Here is a 21888-nt window from a genome sequence, read left to right on the forward strand (position 1 = left end):
TGCCCTTTGAGATCATGAGCAACTTCAGATTACCTCTCACCCTTAGAATACAATGCATCCATGGATGGAGCTTTGGAAAATGCTACTGTGTTTCTGATAAACTAAGTGCTTGTTAAGCTTTCACTTTAGCACAACTTTAATGTGGAAGTAATGACTCTTTCCAGCTGATATCAAGGTATTTCCCACACTTTGGGAAAGATGCAAAAACCACTTTCTATATGGCTCAGTGGTTTTATTACTGATGGAAGCATCCCATTAAATTTTCTTATCAGGCTGTAAGGAAAAAAGAAATTCATTATGTGAAGAGAGACAAGGTAAGGGTTTACTATATAATCAATCAATGGTAATACACCCTTGTTTCTCTTATCAGGTAAATTGCCCCTCAAATATTTTATAGTAACGGGAATTTCTCCAATCTCAACATAGAATCCTAAAAATATGCACACTCTGACATACCATTAATCCTAACATTTATCATCCCTTATGGTTAAACATTTATAAGGTTACATTCTCCTTAAACTTTCTTAAGCCTGTAAACAGCTACAATGAACAACAGGTAAGTTTATTATGGTTTTAGACAGCTCTGTGGAGTAATTAATGAAGCGTTTAGGTCGATGTTTTGCATTACTCAAACTTTCCAATTCCAAATTTGATAAAGAAATTTTCAACATGATTGATGTAATGGTTACTTCTCAGGTCAATGAAAATGAATGAGCACTGGGTTCAAGTCCAAGCCCAAGCAAGTCACTTATTTCTTAAGTCTCTATCTTCTAGTCCATTGGTCTGAGAGATCTGGCCTGAAGTTCCACTTTCAAGTATATTGGTCCATTCTCACATTGCTATAAAGAACTACCTGAGACTGGGTAGTTTATAAAGAAAAGAGGTTTAATTGACTCAAAGTTCTGCAGGATATATAGGAAACATGGCTGGGAGGCCTCAGGAAATGTACAATCATGGCAGAAGGGCAAACGGGAAGCAAGCACCTTTGTCACATGGCAGTAACAGAGAGAACAAAGGGGGAAGTGCTACACACTTTCAAACAACCAGATCTTGTGAGAACTCTATGTGGAGAACACTAAGGGGGAAGTTCGCCCCCATGATTCAATCACCTCCCACCAGGCCCCTCCCCTGATACGTGGGGTTACAAATTTACAGGAGATTTGGATGGGGACACAGAGCCAAACCATATCACATAGCTTGGGTTTACCTTGACCAAGGCTCAAAACAAGGTGATGCAGTTTCTTAAATTTTTCCTTTACTGCGCAGGTTAAAATTACATGTTAATTTCTTGAATGGTATTCCCACAAATTCCCTTACTTCCATTCCATTACTGATTATTTCCTGAGTCTCATCTGTCTCTCAGATTCTATATTCTTTTAACTAAAGGAACAAGGGTTTCTAAACAGAAGGTCATTTCAAGTTTCAATAATAATAATAAAAGTGGTAGGAAACTTTATCTGGACAATTTTATATGATCTTGCCAAATGGACAATGGCAAGATCATATAAAAAATAGAATTCTGACCCCAAAACTGTAGAAACGTGCCCAGGAAACCAATCCCTTATCTACAACAACTAGCCTGGGAAATCAGCCCACGATAAGTCAGACTTGCAGGGATTCAGAACACAGAAAACCAAACAATAATTTCTGCAACAATTTGCCCCAAATGGCCATGACTTAACTGAAAGCTGACAACTTCCCTAATTTTTGGCTCCACTGCTAACTTTAGCACCAACCAGAGAAAGCCAAATATGCTCCTCTAACCTATCGCGTAGGATGCTTGCTTCCAGTCAGCCTGCCTGCAGCTTCTTTGGGCCAACAGACTCCAATTAGGGTACATCAGAAGCCATCCCTTTCTCCACTACACAGCATTCCCATTTCTTTCCCTGCCTTTGAATCTCCGCTGAAATGAGTTACTCTGCAAGAAACTGAATAAATAGCCTTGATTTATTCTCTTTTGGTTTGTCTTTATTTATCACCACTGTGCGTATAAAAAAGGATACAGAGAGTGCACTCAGCTTCATCTAGATCCACAGTTGGGTCAATCTTTCTGCTTTCCTAGTTAATTATTAAGTTCTTGCTAGCTACTATTTAAAAACCTACACACTAAAACCTCCTACCTTTCCAAATGCCTAATGCCTATCTACTTTGAGCATATGACTTTACCCCATCTTCTCAGGGAAAACAAGCCCAATAAGAACTTGCTCCACATCTTCTCAGCATTCACGCCAGTATCTACAGCCTCATCCAGTCAATTCCTCCCTTCTTGTGGTTGTAATAGAAATGTAGACATCTCCTCTGTCCAGGGTTCTGGATCTCACTTCCCTTACTGTCTCACAGCTTTGATCTACAGATTATCATCACTCTCTCCTGTTCCTTCAAACAGTTCTCATCATCTTATTTATTTCTATGAACACTTAGATGTGTTCAAGGCTGTTCCATTTTACTCTCTCTCCCACTCCAAGTCCCTTTCAGTTATCAATCTCTCTCTCTTCCCCACTTCAGAGCCCAAACACTGGAATTACTTATCTACCCTTCAATTTCCATTCATTTCATAACCTGCTGCAGTGTAGGTTCCACCTCTATTACTGCACTAAAACTACTAAGATCATCAGTGACTTCATTTTCCCTCAGTGCAATGTGTATTCTCAGTGCCTACAACTGTGACTGATATGGAGTAGAGCCTCACTTCTCTGGATTTCCTAATTTTAAAAATAGTTCTGCATTGGCTTATAGCTTTACCTGAATTACGTCATCTATTACAACAACCTGATAAAGTAGGTATTATTAATGTGATTCATATTTGGAAACTGGAGCTCACAGAGGTTAAATCTCCCCCTGAAGGACAGACATCTGTTCTGCCACCTAAGATTCATCCTTGCTTCTTCCCTCTGAAATAATAATAGTATTAGATAGGAAAGTATCCTGAAAAATCCTTAGCAGATTTCCTGGTATAAGAAAAAGAGTTCAATATATGTTGAGTATTATCATTTTTCTACCACCTAAACCAGTGCCTGGCACATGAAATATACTCCATAAATACTGACTGATTAAATGTGCCCAGAGAGGTCATAACAGTGATGCCCAAATAATTATTTTTGCTGGTAACTGTGGCCTAGCTGGGGCTTTAAAGCAGGTAGGGGCATTTTTCCTAGATCTGAAGGCCTCTAGAGGGCTTTACCTCGTCATACTAACTGTAGGGAAGAATAAGAAAAAAATATTTTTACTTCCTCTTTCTCAAAAATGTTCACTCATCCATTTCTGAAAAGGTAAAATTATAGACAATGTTACTTGGTAATCCCTATCACCTTTTTCAGAAAAGGATTTGCCTTTATCTTATTATAGCAAATATTAGTTTGTAGGTGTGAATTGAGAGGGAGAGCAGTTAAGTCCTTTTTCCTATTACGTACATGTATAAATATTGAAATTCATGAGATTTAAATTTGAAAATCTGCTGCTTTACAAAAATGAAGTATAATTATAGAGTTGAACAGAACAAAAGGGGAAGTAAAAGCATAGATGCACTGATTTACTATCTTGCCTTCTCTCCCACTGGAATCAATTTATGCTGGAAAGAGGAGCTAAAGACAGCTGGAGGAACAATAGGTTGTTAACACAAATTATAAGGAAAGGAACTCCCTTTAATTTTTGGGAACTGAGCCAAGGGAGAAAATTGAAGTGAGATACTGTATTTATACTACACTATAACAGTACTCATGTAATTTTCTGAGCTCCTCAAAAATCTCTACTAAAATAAAAGCATTAGTATCTATTTCTCATTATGCCTAAATATTGGTAAATGCATAGGAAAAAATCCCCAGAAGGTAGCTGCCAGTTTGCCAACATATCCTATTAAAAACTTTTTTACCAACTAGGAGACATCTTTCCTTAGTGTAAGAACAGAGATACAACAGGATGCATGGACACTGCGTTACTTTAATGATGTTGCCTTTAAGAAAAGATAATTATGCTGGAATGCAAGATGCAAAAAGAGACTACATAGGAAACAAAGAGTTCACTAAGTGCAGACTCAGTTGGGTTTCTGGCTTGAAATGCAATACAAGTAAAATATTTGGCAAGAAACCTGTAAACTACATAAAAGAGGCTTAAAAATCAAATTTGGAAGTTAAAGAAAAAAATCACCCAGATAAACTATAAAATGCAGGTAACATAGATGGATGTGATATATTTCTGGTTGTCACAATGAGGTCATGAGGATATTCTGGCATTCTCATGAAGGCTAGCTCAGAGCACTCCCAACCAATGAGGTCCTCTATTACCAACAAAGAGCATGTTAAAATTCCAAACAACAGGGTTCTACATTTTATAACAGATGAAATATTGCTATTACATAGTCAGAACTCTGAGGACGGGCTCACCATTGGAAAATAGAAATGGAAGGGTTTCCTTAGTTCAAGTGAATATGTTAAAAGATGGGAAAAACAGGAAAGCTAAAGATCTGGAAGGTCAAAGTATCAAAATGTGCCAAATTCAATAACAAAAAGGGGCTTCAAAGCTATGCTGGAAGCAAAGGCGTTGATTTCTGCCTGAAGAAGATGCTGTGACATCAACTCCAGGACACTTACTTGGCACTCACATTCTCCATCACAGAAAATGATCTCACGTGTTGTACACTGGAAGTTGAACTCAAGATACGTGATATGATATTAAAGTTCTGTTTACTCGGCCAGGCACGGTGGCTCACATCTGTAATCCCAGCACTTTGGGAGGCTGAGGCGGGTGGATCATGAGGTCAGGAGTTCAAGACCATCCTGGCCAAGATTATGAAACCCCATCTCTACTAAAAACACACAAAAAATTAGCCGGGCATGGTGGCAGGTGCCTGTAATCCCAGCTACTCGGGAGGCTGAGGCAGAGAATTGCTTGAACCTGGGAGGCAGAGGTTGCAGTGAGCCAAGGAGGTTGCAGTGGGCCGAGATTGCACCACTGCACTCCAGCCTGGGTGACAGAGCAAGACTCCATCTCAAAAATAAATAAAGTTCTGTTTCCTCAACTCAGATTACTGAAAATAATTTCCAGCTATTACTCTCGAGTGATGATATGCCTTTCAGAGACTATTTTGTATATTACCAAGAATAACACGGTGAAGTATGGGCTAAATGATTATACAGACATATGAATTTTGAGATATCAAATACCTTTCCTAAAGAGTACTCGTTAGTGGCTCTTTGGAATGGCCTTGAATGGGGCAAGAGTCTGTCCTTAGACTACCTCATTCAACTACCTATCACTGTCTCGGAAGAACACCAGTAAAGTTAATCTGATCTTCAATAGAAAAACACTGGGGAGGGTCGGGGGTAGGGAGAGCATCAAGAAAAACAGCTAACGCATGCTGGGCTTCCTACCTAGGTGATGAGTTGATAGGTGCAGCAAACCACCATGGCACACATTTACCTATGTAACAAGCCTGCACATCCTGTACATGTACCCTGGAACTTAAAAAAAAAAAAGTACTAGGAGAGAGAAACTAAACAAAGAATCAAGATTCAAGTATTGTACACTTTAAAAGAAATAATTTTATGGTTTCTGAATTATGTCTTAATAAAGCTGTTATATATTTTTAAAAAGTAACAGGAGAATGTTTAACTGGAAAATGTAAAGCCTCATATATTTGAGTTAAAAAATGTACTGAGCAGAGAAAGCTTCCCTGTTGATAGGCTGAGGCCTGCAGTAGACTGTGGGCTCAGGAGCAGGTGACAGTCTGCTGGAGTCTTGGCTTCCTCAGCAGCAGCCTCCCCCTAGACCCTCAGTACCTGACATCATGTCTGCCACAAAGGAATGCATAGTAAATACCTGCTGAATAATTATGCTCCTTAAAAACAAAACAACAAAGAAAAGCCAAGAACACAAACTTAAACGTTATGAAATTAAAAATAGGAGTTTCTTCTCTAAGAAATCTAACATATATAGAGAAAAAAGACTGGACTAAACACCAAAATACTAGCAGTAGTTGTCTTTGGGTCAGAAGATTTTGGGCAAATTATGATCATTTAATTTCATATTTCTGTCTATTTTCCTGTGTGTTCCAATTTTGTAGGATAGAGAAAAGTATATCCTCTGTTACCCCTCATCCCTACCCCAAGTCTGTTTGAATGACAATGAGTATGCTGAAACATTGAGCTGCTTGAAAACTATTTTTATATATGTTACTTTGAATTATTTATATTTGTATGTCTTTTCTTTCCACTTGAACTGTAGATACTCAGATTGCAGCAGTGATATGTTATTATCCTTGTATATAGTCTGATGCTAAGGATGGCAGCAAATTCAACCACCTTCTCTTGCAAACGTTATTACAACTGAACCGGGAAAAAGACTAGAATTTTATCCACATGGCTGCTCTAATGTCATCCTAATATGATATAATTTCTCTAAGAAAAGGCACTTGACTCAAACTAAAACAAAAGTTAACACTGTGACTCAAAGTTTAGGCTAGATGACAATTCTGAAGATCTTTTTATTTCTTGGTGGTGAAGAAAAAAAAACACTCAGATATTACCTTTTTTTTCAGCGCATGGGATCGGCAGTAATTTATCTGACATTATCCCAATACTCCTGATGGAGGACTGTCATTTCAAGTTCTACTTCGCAGGAGGATTTTATCGCCCTCTCAATCAATGTTAGGAGTCATTAGAGCAATAACAGAGAAGAAAAATCAAGGCCACCTATTTAGGCAGGGTGCTTGCCACAAGGTAGTGAAACACAAACCCTAAGATCTTTATGTCTGTACAAACGTACAAGGGAGTTGGCCATTTAGCTCCCATAGTTGTGGGGAGCACTAGGCCAGACTGCCTGGATGGGGCAATTCCCTGGGGCCTCAGAAATTAGTATTGGTAACAGCTTATATTTCTACCACTTCTCATGAAAGAAACCCAGAAATTAGCAACTACCCTTGAATACCCTGTAGAAGTTTGCAGGCTTGTCTAGAAAGGCATTAAAAATAATCACAAAATAACACAAATCCACAACCAAGCAATCAACCCTATTCACTTTCCAAGCCCCATTTCATCTCTCTAATTTTTCCATTATTTAAGACCGCAGCCAGAAAAACTTCAGTGGGAGAAGGAGAGGTGAATCCAATGCAACATGAACCAAATCTCTATCATCTTCGTGTCACCAACAGAAATGTTTTAGCTAAACAAATTTGATCGTTTGTGATATGTGCACAAATTGATTTAGATTATCTTGACAAGTCCAGTTAGTCCATCCAACCAAATCAACTCAGAAAAAGGAATCTAAGGAGTCAAAATAGATAATTCAAATCAGGTTGCATGCACAGGCACAGCCACAATGCATCTTAGCCCAAATGACCTGAATCTCATTACTAATAATTCTTAATTATTCAGTACTGAAAATACAAAATGTTTAGTCAGAACATGGTTTGGGATTTAAAAACAGAGAAAAATAAGTGAATACCAATTTTTGGTATGTGGAGCTGAGCTACAGAAAGCTATAACAAATTAATTTGAATAATTATCAATAAATTTAAGAAAGTAAATGTGCCCTAAAATTCTTTCAGATAATTTGTTTATCCAAATAGTTTAAATGACCTATTGTTTATCCTGCTATACAAATCCTTTTTCTTTAGATAATATAAGATTTAATGAATAAACACACATTACAAGTTAGTGACATTTACATAAAGAATCATTAATCATACCACCTTCAAATATATTTGCATAAATATTAGCAGTTACCAAGTCCTTTATCATGTACGGCCTCCATGACTTAGTCTAGATGAGAATACCACCTTTTGCAATTATGGGTAATACATTCTTTTTCAATCTACTTTTGAATTTGAGGATTGGAACCAAAGTTTATCGTAAGCAACGGTGACTTACTCAAGTTTGTCTATACATCTGACTGTCACATATGTAATCTTCCCAATTTTTTTTCTTGCCTCTGGCTATTCTAGTCTTTCCCTAAAACCTACTAAAAGTTACTCATTTTAAAGCAATTGCTATTTACTGTGTACTACTAACTGCTTTCTGTGAAAAATGTGTATTCTTGGATGTTGAAATACAGGGAGAAGAGATGCTCCACCAATAGCTTTGTAAACTTTTCCCATTAAAGTAGTATTCCACAACATGCATTCAAATGTCACCACGAATACTGATGATCCTGTAAAGTGGCACTGTCTTTCAAGAGACAAGATTGATGAGGATAGAAAGAACCAGATAAAGAAGTCTTTGAATTCTAGACTATTAAGCAGTAGAGAGTCACTGCATAACATTTTTATAAGGAGTGGTTGGATTAAACAATATTTTGGGAATATTCAACAAATATGATACAGCATACTAGTAGGAATTGAAATAAAATGCTTTTTGCATCGAGCATTCAATAGGCTGTTGCCCTACTAAGATGATAACTACTAATCCTTTGCTAGTGAAAACCCAGACTTTAAATTTTTTTTTTGAAAGCATTTAACTATTTATGTTGGTTGATGAAGTCAACTGCTCAAGTGAGACTGATACCTTGGAAATGTCTAGCTGGTGTTAATGGTTCAGTTTGGGAGCTCTTGGTTGGGAAAGCACTGAGCTCAGCTCTTGTGACTAAGATAGCTTGATTCACTCATGTCTCCAACAAATATTTTCAAATATCTACAGCTATATGTGAAAGCTGACAAATTTAAGAAAAGAATAAAAGTAATGTGGTTTCCACAAGTTGATCACTTTTTGAGTATAAAAATTAGGGAATGGAGTGTAGAGGGTAAAAGCTAGAATATCCATTCCTTCGGTTGAGATTTCTGATGCATTATTATTGAAGTTTATTGAAGACCTAGAGTTTCAAGAATTTCACTTAAATAAGAATATCAATTTAACTATATTATCCTTCTTTCGTGGAGGCTTTCTTAGGTACAACGTTAGGTCCAATTTCTCAGGAGTTCTCTTTGTGAGCAGCGTGTACTCCTCTGTCTCTTGATGTGGGGCCGGCCATATGACTGATTTGGGTATATGACCAAAGAGGATAGATTGCCAGGTCAGAAGCCAGGCCTTTGGGGACTTTGTATGTTTCTGCTTGCTGTCTTAAGTGTTTGCCACTGCCTTGAGAAGAAGTTAGCTCCAAGTCCAAACAGAGACTTAAAGAGCATGGCCAGTCAGACACCCAAACATCTATTTTAAGAGGCAGAGCAATGACGCACCAGGTGCTGTGTACAGAAGTTCAGCTTTAGATGAACCAAATCTTACCTGCACTGCCCTGCAGTCAAGTAAATGACTGTTATGGACCACAGAGCTTTGAGGAAGTATGAAACACAGTATCTTTGTAGCAACAGCTAATGGATACAGTGGCAAAACAGGGATTAGAACTGAGGCTTGGAGGCTCTTATTTGAATGTAGATTTTATCTATCACTTTTTTTTCCTGTTGCACTAGGCATGACACCGTCATATGTAGAACTTAATCTGTTCTATTTTTGTGCCCTTTCCATTGCCTTTTTCAGTAACCTTTTAACTACCTTGCCTTTCCATTTTTTGTTTTGTTTTGTTTTTCTTCTTTGTTTTTTTGAGACAGAGTTTTGGCCTGTTGCCCAGGCTACAGTCCAGTGGCACAGTCTCGGCTCACTGCTGGGCTCAAGTGATCCTCCCACCTCAGCCTCCGGGGTAGCTGGGACTATAGGTGTGCACCACCACACCCAGCTAATTTTTGTAGAGATGGAGTTTTGCCATGTTGTCCAGGCTGGTCTTGAACTCCTGAGCTCAAGTGATCCAACTGTCTTGGCCTCCCAAAGTGCTGGGATTACAGGCGTGAGCCACTGTGCCTGGCCTGTTTTGTTAATATGTATGTATTTCCCTGTGCTTTGGAACCAATTTTTCCACTTTACTGACATTTTGTTTTCTTTCCTTGGAAACTTAAGTCTTTCAAATAATGGCCAGTTTCTCTAACATTTCTTTCCACCTTAAGATCCTTACAGACTTTGAAAAGAAAAAAAAAATACACTCATAATAATCATTCTTATTATCTTATTATCATTTTTACCTTAGTTTAATCTTATCCAAACTAGGTCGTGACAATTTAGGGAATACTTCCGAAGACTTGCTCTGGTATTTTATTTTTTAAAGAGAAGTCCATATATTGGAATGCATGAACAAGAAATGCAAAGTTAGAAACATATCCCATGAAGCACTGTGAACACTCTGACAGCTGCAATTTATCAACATAAATTACTGTGCTTAGCTGCAAAGCTTTTGTCACAGGGAGACAGGGCACTTCCTAAATGGCTTGCTGCCCTCTTTAATAATAATCTTAGTTTTTACAATCCAGACAACCTAGGGCAAGAGACAGCCTGATGCACATAGAAACAGAAAAATTCAGGTTTTTATGTACATCACCGGGAGCACTGACATGCTACTCTATTCATTTTTAGATTAGAGTCTTTTCCCCCTTCTGTCTACATGTGGCAATAGATGACTTAGAAAAGAAAATGTGGGCAGGAGAGCCAGGATAGGAAGCTTAGCAGTAAACAAGTCAGCCTGTCTGCTGTCTCACTTTCCTTTTAATCAAGGAAAAGGCCTAACAGAATTCACTGTCATCGTCTTAGTGGTGGCTTCTAACAGCACTGGATAGGGAGAATCCTTTTATTTCCAGCATCACATGAACAAATTGATTTTTAAATTCATGCATCTAACATGTGTTCCTAAAGCCATTACCATTTAGTAAACAGCATAACTAAATGTCTTTAAACTACTTTAGACATTTTAAGCACTAATTTTTCTCATTTTAAAAAAGTTTCAATCTGTGTGTTAGAGATATTCGAGATATGCTACTACATAAAGTTTTGTACCTATTCATGAAAATCTAATTTTGGGGGGATGTGGTTGAATTCTGTATCTCAATATTGGACTTTTCTAATACGGTGGATGAGCTGAAACCTGTTCCCTGGTCCCCTTAACTCCAAAGCCTCTGCTCACTCTACTGTACATGCTGCCTTTACAGAAAGCCCCTGTCCGTAAGCTCCATTTTAAGAAAAGGAGTTTTAAGACTGCTATCCATAATGCCAAATTTCTAAGCTGCTTTCTTCTAGTATTGGAAAAACAGAAACGTCTAGTTTAGCCATTATAATCAGGAATCAATAACATGCATATCTGCTAATTTCCCTGCCTTTATGGTCTGTGCTCCTATCCAAAAAGGGTTGTAAAGGCAAGAACAAAGTTACCTATAGTCTCTCTCTCTTTTTGAGTACTTTCAAATTCATCATTTGTCAACAGATGTACTGCAGTCCCTAGCTTCAGTACAACAGGACACCAGTAAAGTCACCTGTGGTACACAGAATAAGAGCTGCCCAAAGATGTCTACCTTCTAATCCCTGGAACCCGTGAATATATATGTTACATGGCACATGGGGAATTAAGGTTGCAGATGAAATTAAGTTTCCTAATCAGCTGACCTTAAAATAGGGAGAGTATCCTGGACTATCCAGGTGGGCCCAATGTAATCAGAAGGGTCCTTAAAAGTCAAAGAGGGAGGCAGAAGAGGAAGTGAGAGTGATGTAATATGACAAATACTTGGCCCAACATTGCTGGCTTCCAAGATAGAGGAGAAGAACCAAAAGCCAAGAAATGTGGGTGGCCTAGAGGCTGGAAAACGCTGGGAAACAGATTGTCCCCTAGAGCCTCCAGAAAGGATCAAAGGTCTGCTGACATCTTGTTTTAGCCCAGCAAGACCCATTTCAGACTTCTGAACTACAGAACTGTAGGAGGAGAAATTTGTGTTGTTTTAAGCCACTAAGTTTGTGGTAATTTGTTGTAGCAGCCACAGGAAACGAATACATCATTTATTTTTAAGACAGGTTACCAGGAAGGCTATCTACATTACAGATAACTGGGAGACAATTTGACAAATATTTGACAAATTATCAGAAATGTTTTTGTTGTTTAATGGCAAAAGTAAAAGAATAATATGCTTTTGTTTTCTTTTAATTTATTTTTCCTTGCTGAATTGTGTCCTTTAATTTATAACTACAATTGCTTTGGCTGTTATTTGGCACTCCAAATGGATCAGAAGTAAATTGAGACTGATAAATAATTTTTGTAATTAAATACAATATTATAGCAAAGAAGAATTTAAAATATAAACAGCATCTTACTTCAATAAAAATGTGTTATAAAAGAATAGAAAATCACAAGTAACTAAATAAAAAAATAAATAAATTTGACTTTATCACAAGTAAAAACTTCTGTGCATCAAAGGACAATATCAAATATGTGAAAAGACAGTCCACATTAAAAAATTTTGAAATCATATGTCTGATAAAGGTCTAGTATCTAGAACATACAAAGAACTCTTGGAAGCCAACAATACAAAAGGCAAATAACCTACTTTTAAAAAGGGCAAAGAATATGGGTAGGTATTTTTCCAAAAAACCTCAAAACAATTGACCAATAAGCACGTGAAAAGACGCTCAACATCATTAATCATTAGGGAAGTGCAAATCAAAACCACTATGAGATACTAATTCACACTCATTATGATGGCTATTTAAAAAAAAGGAAAATGGTGAGGATGTAGAGAAAATGGAACTATAATACATAACTAGTGGGAATGTAAAATGACACAGCCCCTGTGGAGAACAATTTGGCAATTCCTTGAAAAGTTAAATATAGAATTTCCATATGACCCCGCAATTCCACTCCTAGGTATACACCTAAGAGCACTGAAAACATGCTCATGCAAAAACCTGTACACAAATGTTCCTAGCAGAATTATTCGTAATAGCCAAAGAGTGAAAACACCACCAATGTCCATAAATTGATACATGAATAGACAAAGTGTAGTATGTCTATACAATGGAATATTATACAGCCAGAAAAAGGAATGCATAGGTGAACCTTGAAAATTTTATGCTAAGTGGCAACAGCCAGACACAAAAGGCCACATATTCCATTTGTATGATATGTTCAGAATAGTCAAATCCATAGAGACAGAAAAATTATTTCATTGACACATAAATGAGGGATATGAAATCTATTCACAATAGGAACTCATGGTAGGTATCATTTATATAGCTGAGAAAGCTCTCAGGCAATCACACACAGGAAAATGTGTCAAAAATATCTGCAGAAAATGTTATGTGAATGTCTTCATACATCCATTATATCCTTATTCCTCCCTCTGTTCCAAATTTGAGCTTTACTGAATAGAGTGTGAGCACCTGCAGGCAGGGGCTAAATCTTATTTATCTTTGCATTCTCAGTGCTGAACATAATAGGCACACAATAAATTTGTTCTATAATGGGATGAAGAGATCAAAGCAAAGAGTAATGGCCCTCAGTAATGGCTCCTGACAATAAGAAAGCCCTTGTAGTTAGGAAATATTCTTAAATCCCTCAAATGCTTATTTAAGATACAGAGAGTGAAGTATTACCTTATGTAGGAATGTTCAGTGACCAAAATGGGAAAATTACAAATATCTGTTGCTTTAAATTCTTTAATTTTTGGCAAATTGAATATTATGCACTTTTTGTATTTTTATTATAAATAATTTGTTTCAGTACTATGACTTATTTCAGTATAAATGAAATAAGTTGAGGAGGGTTATTTAAAATGGTAAACATTTAACCATCTAATGGTTAATTAAAATGAGGAATTCAAGTTTGAACATAACCATTAAAGTCTTTTTTTTTTTTTTTTTTTTTGACAGAGTCTCGCTCTGTCACCAGGCTGGAGTGCAGTGGTGCGATCTTGGCTCACTGCAACCTCTGCCTCCCAGGTTCAAGTGATTCTCCTGCCTCAGCCTCCTGAGTAGCTTGGATGACAGGCAGGTACCACCATGCCTGGCCAAGTTTTGTATTTTTAGTAGAGACGGGATTTCAGCATGTTGGTCAGGCTGGTCTCGAACTCCTGACCTCGTGATCTACCTGCCTCGGCCTCCCAAAGTGCTGGGATTACAGGCATGAGCCACTGCGCCTGGCCCCATTAAAGTCTTTTAATTCAATGAAGGGTTCACTCAGCCTTATTTGAAAACATATTTGCTTACAGATAATTCTATTGTAATATTTTAATCCTCCAATATGTGCTTATAAGGAAATTACAAAATAACAATACATCATTTTAATTTTATCTTTACTAAAAGTAATGTAGAGATTAAGGCCTTCTGCTTCTCTGTCAAAAAATAAAAAAGATCAAACAATACCGGCTGTGATAAGCATACAACTTGTGATTATATTGTGCTAATAGGTCCAAGGATCTATGGAGATAAAATCTGATTAATATATTTATCATCTTTTTATGTTTGTTTTATAAAAGAGGATTCATGTTTCTATTTCATAAAGAGACATTTAACTTCTTCATCGGGTCATTCTAAAGTTACCTTTAAAACCTAAGAAGCACCTTCTACCTCTTAACCAAAGAAAAGTCAAATATACGCAGAATACAGAGGGATACAGAACCAGCTAAGTGTCGCAAAGTCACAAGCCTTCTTTCCCCCAGGAAAATAAAGATCAGAATGCTATGCTAGAGTACATGTTCAGGTTTTTGAAAGGGATGTAAGGATATGCAGGTAATGAGCAAGGCCTCATTTCTTTTCTGCATATATATTAGCATGGATTTTAGCCTATTTATATAAAAAAGTCAGAAATATAAAGCAGAGGAGTTTTTACTGGAACTATGATGACTCCATGTTTCGTATTTGATTTTCTCTGCTGTTCACATATGTTTTCTTGATTCCTTGAGAATTGTCTTTTTAAAAAATTTGTGAGTGTATCATTTACATGAACTAAATGACCAACACTACTTGCCCTGCCTAATAAGGAGTAATCTCTGATTCACTCAGGATACGTGGAGGCCTTAAAGTTTGGGAGTCCTTAATTGCGTTTATGGCTATATCTTGCTATTTGGCACCTGAGTGTGTTTATCACACTGTCTTACGTATGGTAGGTGCTTAACCAATCATGACTAGTTTTAGATATGTTTACTTGGTGTCCCAAATAGATTCTAAGTACCTTGAGTGCAGACATTATGTATTACATGTTTTTAGAGTATTTCACAACCTTTAGCTTGGTGCTGAGCACATGGGAGGTGCCAGTTAGCCAAGGTAGTGTAGACCCTTCTTTTCATTCTTGTTATGAGAAGAGTATAGATGATATTGGGACTCCTTAACTCCTTACCCATTTACCAAGACACATACACATGCGCACGTGTGCGTGTGCACACACAATCTGTATTTGATGAAGCAGATGCAGATTAATGGAGACACATTTGATCACAGGGAGTTTTATTTTTACTCTCTGTGTCATCAGCAGTTTTTGCATATTACCTCTAGAAAATGTTCAGAAAAGTTGTACTGGTAAATAGAATTCCAATTCTTTGTGATGGAAAAAGTACTTGAGCAATAGCGAGCCTATGGAGACAGCTAAATCAGCAGCTGGCAGGGCCCTCTCTCCATTCTCCCCTCTACGGATCAGCAGTCCTTGGTATTCAGAAAGTAGATTGTAAGCAAATATTTTTTTCTAGTGAGGCCGGAAGATTTACTGTGTAGTATTTTACAGAAAATATAAAGTCTTTGATAAAATGTAAAAGTCAGTTGTTGAGATAAAATATGACTACAATGAAGACCACTATAAATTTGAGTAGATTTTTCAAAGTAGCATTATAATTAAGACCTAATTTCTCTCTCCTAGCAGTGTAGAAGGTGGAGAGGAAAGAGTATTATGTGACAGGTAAGGAAACGGAGGCAGATAAAGTCTACATGATTTACTATTGATTGGGAGCCAGAAGCCAGAACTCAGGATTCCTGGCTAAATCAATCAAAAAATTATTAATGACTTCTACTACTTATAAGATATTATACTAAAACTTTCTTTTTGAGATAACTGTAGAAGAGTTAAAAAGACAATATATAAAGATGTGGTAAGTTAAATTACAACAGAAGCATTATAGATTTCCAAAGTAAATGATACCTATACCAAAGGGGGAAAAAAGAACAGAAAAAAGACACCTCAGGAGATTGTTTTGGGCTGTGGTGTTTTGTAGATAGTAATTTCCCACTCTAAGTTTTTTCTCCTTCCATATTGAACACTGGGACTGGAAGATAAAACCATATTGATTTTCTGTCCTTCACCATCTTGCCCAAACTTCTGTTTTTTAATCTTTCTTTTAGATATTGGAGGAAAACGTTTGTTGTTTCTCATCTAGAGTTAATCCCTTTTCTTACGTTCCATGGCTCCTCATTGCCCATTTATTCTATGCCCTTACTCCTCAGAGTGCAATCTGTGAGCCAGCAGCAGCAGCATCCCTGGGGAGCTTGTTAGAAAGGCAGGATCTCAGTCCTCACCACAGCTCTAGAGAGGAGAATCTGCATTTTAACAAGACACATTCCAGTGGGAGACCTGCTGATCTCGGCCATTCTTTCAAAAATCAGCCCCTCCATTTCTAGCACCATTAGTCTCTCTTTTTCCCTCACTATCTCCTTTTCCCTTCTTGAACAATCCAGGGGTCTTTATTAAGAAACAAACCAAGAAACATCCCTCCCTACTCCCCATCTCCAATGACTGATATCCCTTTCAGCTTTCAGAGCACCTCACTTCTGTTTCTGTGGTTACCACGTTCCTGGAATGAATTTTATGCCCCTGCTCTCTTTATTTTTAATTCAGTCAGTTTCTTCTTAAAACTTGGAAACTTTCACTCTGAAGCAGTTTGAACACATAGGCCACATGAACTCACACACGTGCACGTAGAGGCACACACATGGGTGCACCCACATGCACACACACACGTGCACGTAGAGGCACACACATGGGTGCACCCACATGCACACACACACGTGCACGTGGAGGCACACACATGGGTGCACCCACATGCACACACACACGTGCACGTGGAGGCACACACATGGGTGCACCCACATGCACACACACACGTGCACGTGGAGGCACACACATGGGTGCACCCACATGCACACACACACGTGCACGTGGAGGCACACACATGGGTGCACCCACATGCACACACACACGTGCACGTGGAGGCACACACATGGGTGCACCCACATGCACACACACACGTGCACGTGGAGGCACACACATGGGTGCACCCACATGCACACACACAGATGCAGATGATTAACTCTGATGAGGTTAGATCAACTTTTAAAATGACCATAGTTCCTATACTGATGGGAACATTAATTATCTGAGCCACATTTGGTTCCTGATGATTTTGGTGTGCCCACTCCTATCATGAATCTATTCAGGATCATCTACTTGTCTGTGATCCTGCTTAGGTGGCTGGACTGACCTACACCAGGCCAAATTTACTGAATGCCCCTGCGGTACAACTGTCCCAATCTTGAAAGGGAAATCTTGTATCTCTGCATAAATATCCCAGCAGTATACACAGATGCAGGTTCACGAAAGTGAAACAAAATGAGACCTTGTACTTAAGGCCTATCTAAGTTAGGTTTTCTTCCTGAATCCTTCTGCTGGGTAAATCCTAGACGACAGAGGTCCATCTGTAGTCTTGTGTTAGACGTGAAGAAAAGGAGGAGGTTGCCAATAGATTCCCCACCATCAAGTGTCATAGGAAAAAGCTTATACCAATGAGGAACCAAAAAATAAAAACAATCTTCTTCTTAATTCCAATGACTTTCTGAAGTCATTTCATACAACAAGGTTGGAAGGTTGAGATGTTTTAAAATTTACTGGGTACCATCACCCACTCACCTTCTACGGGTTTTGAGCAATCTGCTCACTAGTGATTGGATGTTGTGTTATTCATCAGGCCTGGCTCTTATGAAGAAAAATGAAGAGCATAAAAGAAAAGAACCACCACAGTGAAAATGGGGCTGTGCTGAAAGGTTAATGTGCTCTTCAGCCTAGGACTTCAGACAGAACACGGAGCGGCCACACAATCTGTTTATCTGATGCATGCAGACAGTACTGTCATGCTTCACCTTTGGAAATGGGCCATTACTTCTGGTGACAGATTATGAATTGTGGAATATGGCTGGCACGTGGCCAGACAATGGAGAGTTCATAAATCAGACTCAAAATGGAAATACCTGAGTAAAATTCTTGAGTTATTTGAGGGGTTGGAAAAGGATATGTAATGAGAGAATTCGTTAAACCCATGTGCGTGGATGTGTAGGTGGGCACGCTGTGTATGTGTATGTGTGTATGGGGCAGGTGTTGATTTTTAAAAGTCCTTTGTTAAGGTTCTACAAAGAAGTATTTTTTGTTTTGTTATTTTCTGGTTGGCTGAAGAATTTTGCTTCAGCATGGAATAGAGTGGTAGTTGGGGATCAGGGTAAAGGATGGTTGGGATAAAGATTTTGGTTTTTAACAGGAAATTGGTTTGAGCCTTCCAAAAAAAAGAGAGAATCAATCAACTCTGAACAAAAGGAGTAAATAGTTGGTCTACAGGGATTAATGTTTCTTTATTTTACAAATAATCTGAAAAACAGGCCCATAGATCTGGAAAACAGCCACAACTGCGTAGATAATACTACACAAATTGGTAAACGGATGAGAGTAAATTAAAATACAGGTTTATAAGCATGTGAAAATAGCCAGAAAAATATCAACTAAAATAAAGTGTTGATGCATAAATGCCCTTGAGGAAAAATAACCTAAACTCCTTGTAAGAAGACGGGCTCTAAAGTTTTGTTTTGTGATGAAGGAATGAAACCTAAAAGTGATTTTTAAAACTACTATCTGAAAATATGCTCCAATGTGTCCCCAAAGACCAGCACAGGTAGGTAATCCTCTAGAAAGGTACTAGTAACACACAAAAGGTAGGATTCCAATATTGGCAACTCATGCTAGGTTGATTAAGTGCTTATGACCAAGGAGTTGAGAGTGGTTGTTTAGTTTTCCTCGTACTCAACCTCAGACAACAGCCATCAGGCTGAGGGTAATTCTTCATCAGGATAGGACCACAAGAGCTTGTTCTTTCTTGAGAAGAAAAACAAGGATAGGTAAATATATAGATCATTACTATAATGTCACCAGCAAATTTTTAAGTAGTTCTATTTGAAAAAAAAATCACTATTTAGGCATTTAAAAAATGTAATATATAATACCATGTACAAAAAGTAGAGAAAACTTTTATAAGAATAAAAGCTATAATCAAGACTTTTAGTACCATCTCTAATTATATACTTAGTACCACCTCTAATATTATACTTTGTACCATCTCTAATAATATATACTCTGTTTATCTAAAGGCTACCTCATGGATTTTTAGAGTTCTGATAAATGTATCAATTATTTTCAGCTACGAAGTACTATCCTTTTTTTTTTTTTTTTTCTGTTTATTACGAATATCAACGACTTAAGTTCTCTGGCCAAATTAGTTTCTCCAGTGTGGAACTAACTTCTATAGAAACCCTCTAGTCTTTTTGTACAGTTGTGACATTGACTAACATTTTTACATCAGTGGCCAGACTAATCCTCAGGCCTGGAGTCCCACATTTTAGGCCACCAGCAAACTCCCTGTCAGGTGCTGCCTTTGCTTGTTGCTGGCAGGAGAGTCCAGTGCAACCGGTAGGAAAAGATCCTTCATTAGCAGGTGCTAAAATGACGGGAAGCCCCTTACAGAGATAACACATCCTACCTTTCTACTTTCTTTTTCTGCTTAAAATGTGCCTTCAATCTTCCTTTTAAATGGATTTCCTCAGTTTAGAGATGTGTAATACGAAGGCATGCATCTTACCTATGTGGCTTCTGATCCCTCTGGGCACCTGTGTCTGGATACAGACCTGTGCCCACCTGCATCCCAACCCCTGACGAGGCACATCTCTGCTGGTGGGGGCCTGTGTCAACCCTGAACAGCTCCCCAAGGAAGCTGCTTTTCTGGGTGTCTGTCTAGCCAGCTAACCTATCATGTTCATTTTTCTGGCCCTTAGTTAAAAATGCTCTATTAGGCAGGGCACAGTAAGTCACACCTGTAATCCCAGAACTTTAGGAGACAGGCAGGTGGATCACTTGAAACCAGGAGTTCGAGACCAGCCTGGCCAACATGGCAAAACCCTGTCTCTACTAAAAATACAAAAAATTAGGCGTGGTGGCACCTGCCTGTAATCCCAGCTACTTGGAAGACAGAGGCACCAGAATTGCTTGAACTCAGGAAGTGGAGGTTTCAGTGAGCCAAGATCACACCACCGTACTCCAGCCTGGGTAGCAGAGTGAAACTCTGTCTCAAACAAAACAAAACAAAACAAAACAAAAAAAAACAAAAAAACAAAACTGCTTTATTATCCAAGTGTTAAAAAAAGGTATAGGCTTTCTTTGTCAAGATACTTTCTCGAAGTCAAAGTCTTTTATCAGTCTTCTACTGTTTTTCAGTAGGGTCCCGGTTTATTCCTCTGTCAGGAGCAATATACATTCCAGTATCACACACACCAAAACTTTAAATACGTTGGTCAATTTTAGGTTATATACATTATCTATGTGAAGTGAATAATGTGCATTTTTTCTATGTTTCATTGCACCTGGTACAAGTTTAAAGCATAATAATACATTTCCAGGCCGGGCGTGGTGGCTCATGCCTGTAATCCCAGCACTTTGGGAGGCCGAGGTGGGCCGATCACGAGGTCAGGAGATTGAGACCATCCTGGCTAACACGGTGAAACCCAGTCTCTACTTAAAAAAAAAAAAAAAAAAAAAAAAATTAGCCGGGCGCGATGATGGGCGCCTGTAGTCCCAGCTACCTGGGAGGCTGAGGCTGGAGAATGGCGTGAACCCGGGAGACGGAGCTTGCAGTGAGCCGGGATTGCGCCACTGCACTCCAGCCTGGGCGACAGAGCGAGACTACGTCTCGAAAATAATAATAATAATACATTTCGGGCTACTTTGTATTTATTCTGTTGAAAGAGAATGTTAACAGTCTGTCTTGCCCTGATTTTTCATTCTGATATTATTTCACTATTTCCTTCTAACATGTCTCCAAAAGAAATTACTGCCAGACATGTGTCTTAGAGAAATAGTGATTCAATAATTATCAGTAAATTGCCAGATAATCTTTAAACTAGCCAGGAGTATTACAAGCAATATTTATGCTAAAAATCAATTTCCCTACCTCAGAAGAATAATTGTATTTTAAGGTTTCTGATGGAAACCAGTCTTTGAACATCCAAGCATTAGACCCAGTTCCTTACCCTCTGCATAAGGCATCCTGTTAGGGGCTCTAAAGAAAATCCTCAAGAGGTATGAAATTTATATAGAAGGTGACACAAGCTTAACTTCATAGTAAGTTTAACTGCATTCAATAAGTAATTCAATATAAATATATAAAGAATGGTAGGAGTTAGCATGCTTTCCAAATGAATTATAGAAAGAATAATTGCTACAAAATTTACTACACTGGCACTGTATAGAAAAGTTGGATGTAGAAAGAGAGATAAAAGTTGCCTTTCAAATAAATGGGTAGCCTTTGATTAAGAAGTAAGGAGGAAAGCATTTTGAGTACAAAAGCTCCATTTGTTAATTCCTCTAAATCTTCAACAAACAGAGTACAAAGACAGAGAAAATGCTCTTCAATTACTTTTTTTGATGTGAGCTAATACAGCATTAATAACAAAGCCTGTAAAACCTGGTTATTTAAGATAACTTTAATAAATACGAAGTAACTGGTGATAAATTTGACAAAAGATGTGCAGGAGCTATAAACTAAGAATTATAAAACATCGCTGAAAGAAATTAAGTCCCAGGGAAATGGAACAATATTGTGTTCATGGGCCAGAAGATTCAATATTGTGAAAAAGATCAAAACTAGAGGATTTACACTATCTGATGTCAAGACTTATTATAAAGCTACAGTAACCAAGACGCCGTGGTATTAGGATATGAATAGTCATACAACAATGGCACAGAAAGTCTAGAAATACACATACACATATATGAACAATTTTAACAAAAATTTCAAGGCAATTCGGT

At 38.0% G+C, this 21888-nt stretch overlaps 1 protein-coding gene across 40 annotated transcripts in view, besides 1 other annotated feature; it reads right to left on the minus strand.

Moving 5' to 3' along the window:
- The window catches only part of TPK1 (thiamin pyrophosphokinase 1), a 384497-nt gene that overhangs the window by 19878 nt on the left and 342731 nt on the right, over positions 1-21888 (minus strand). The gene's annotated exons all lie outside the window — the stretch shown is intronic.
- Positions 3746-4247: an enhancer, noted in NCBI's record as "NANOG hESC enhancer chr7:144172657-144173158 (GRCh37/hg19 assembly coordinates)". NCBI's record gives its function as "activates a minimal SCP1, AML or CMV promoter by ChIP-STARR-seq in primed H9 embryonic stem cells {active_cell/tissue: H9 hESC(primed)}" and the evidence as "EXISTENCE:reporter gene assay evidence [ECO:0000049][PMID:30033119]".

This window comes from Homo sapiens, chromosome 7 (genome assembly GCF_000001405.40).
Source record: "Homo sapiens chromosome 7, GRCh38.p14 Primary Assembly".
Classification (NCBI taxonomy): domain Eukaryota; kingdom Metazoa; phylum Chordata; class Mammalia; order Primates; family Hominidae; genus Homo; species Homo sapiens.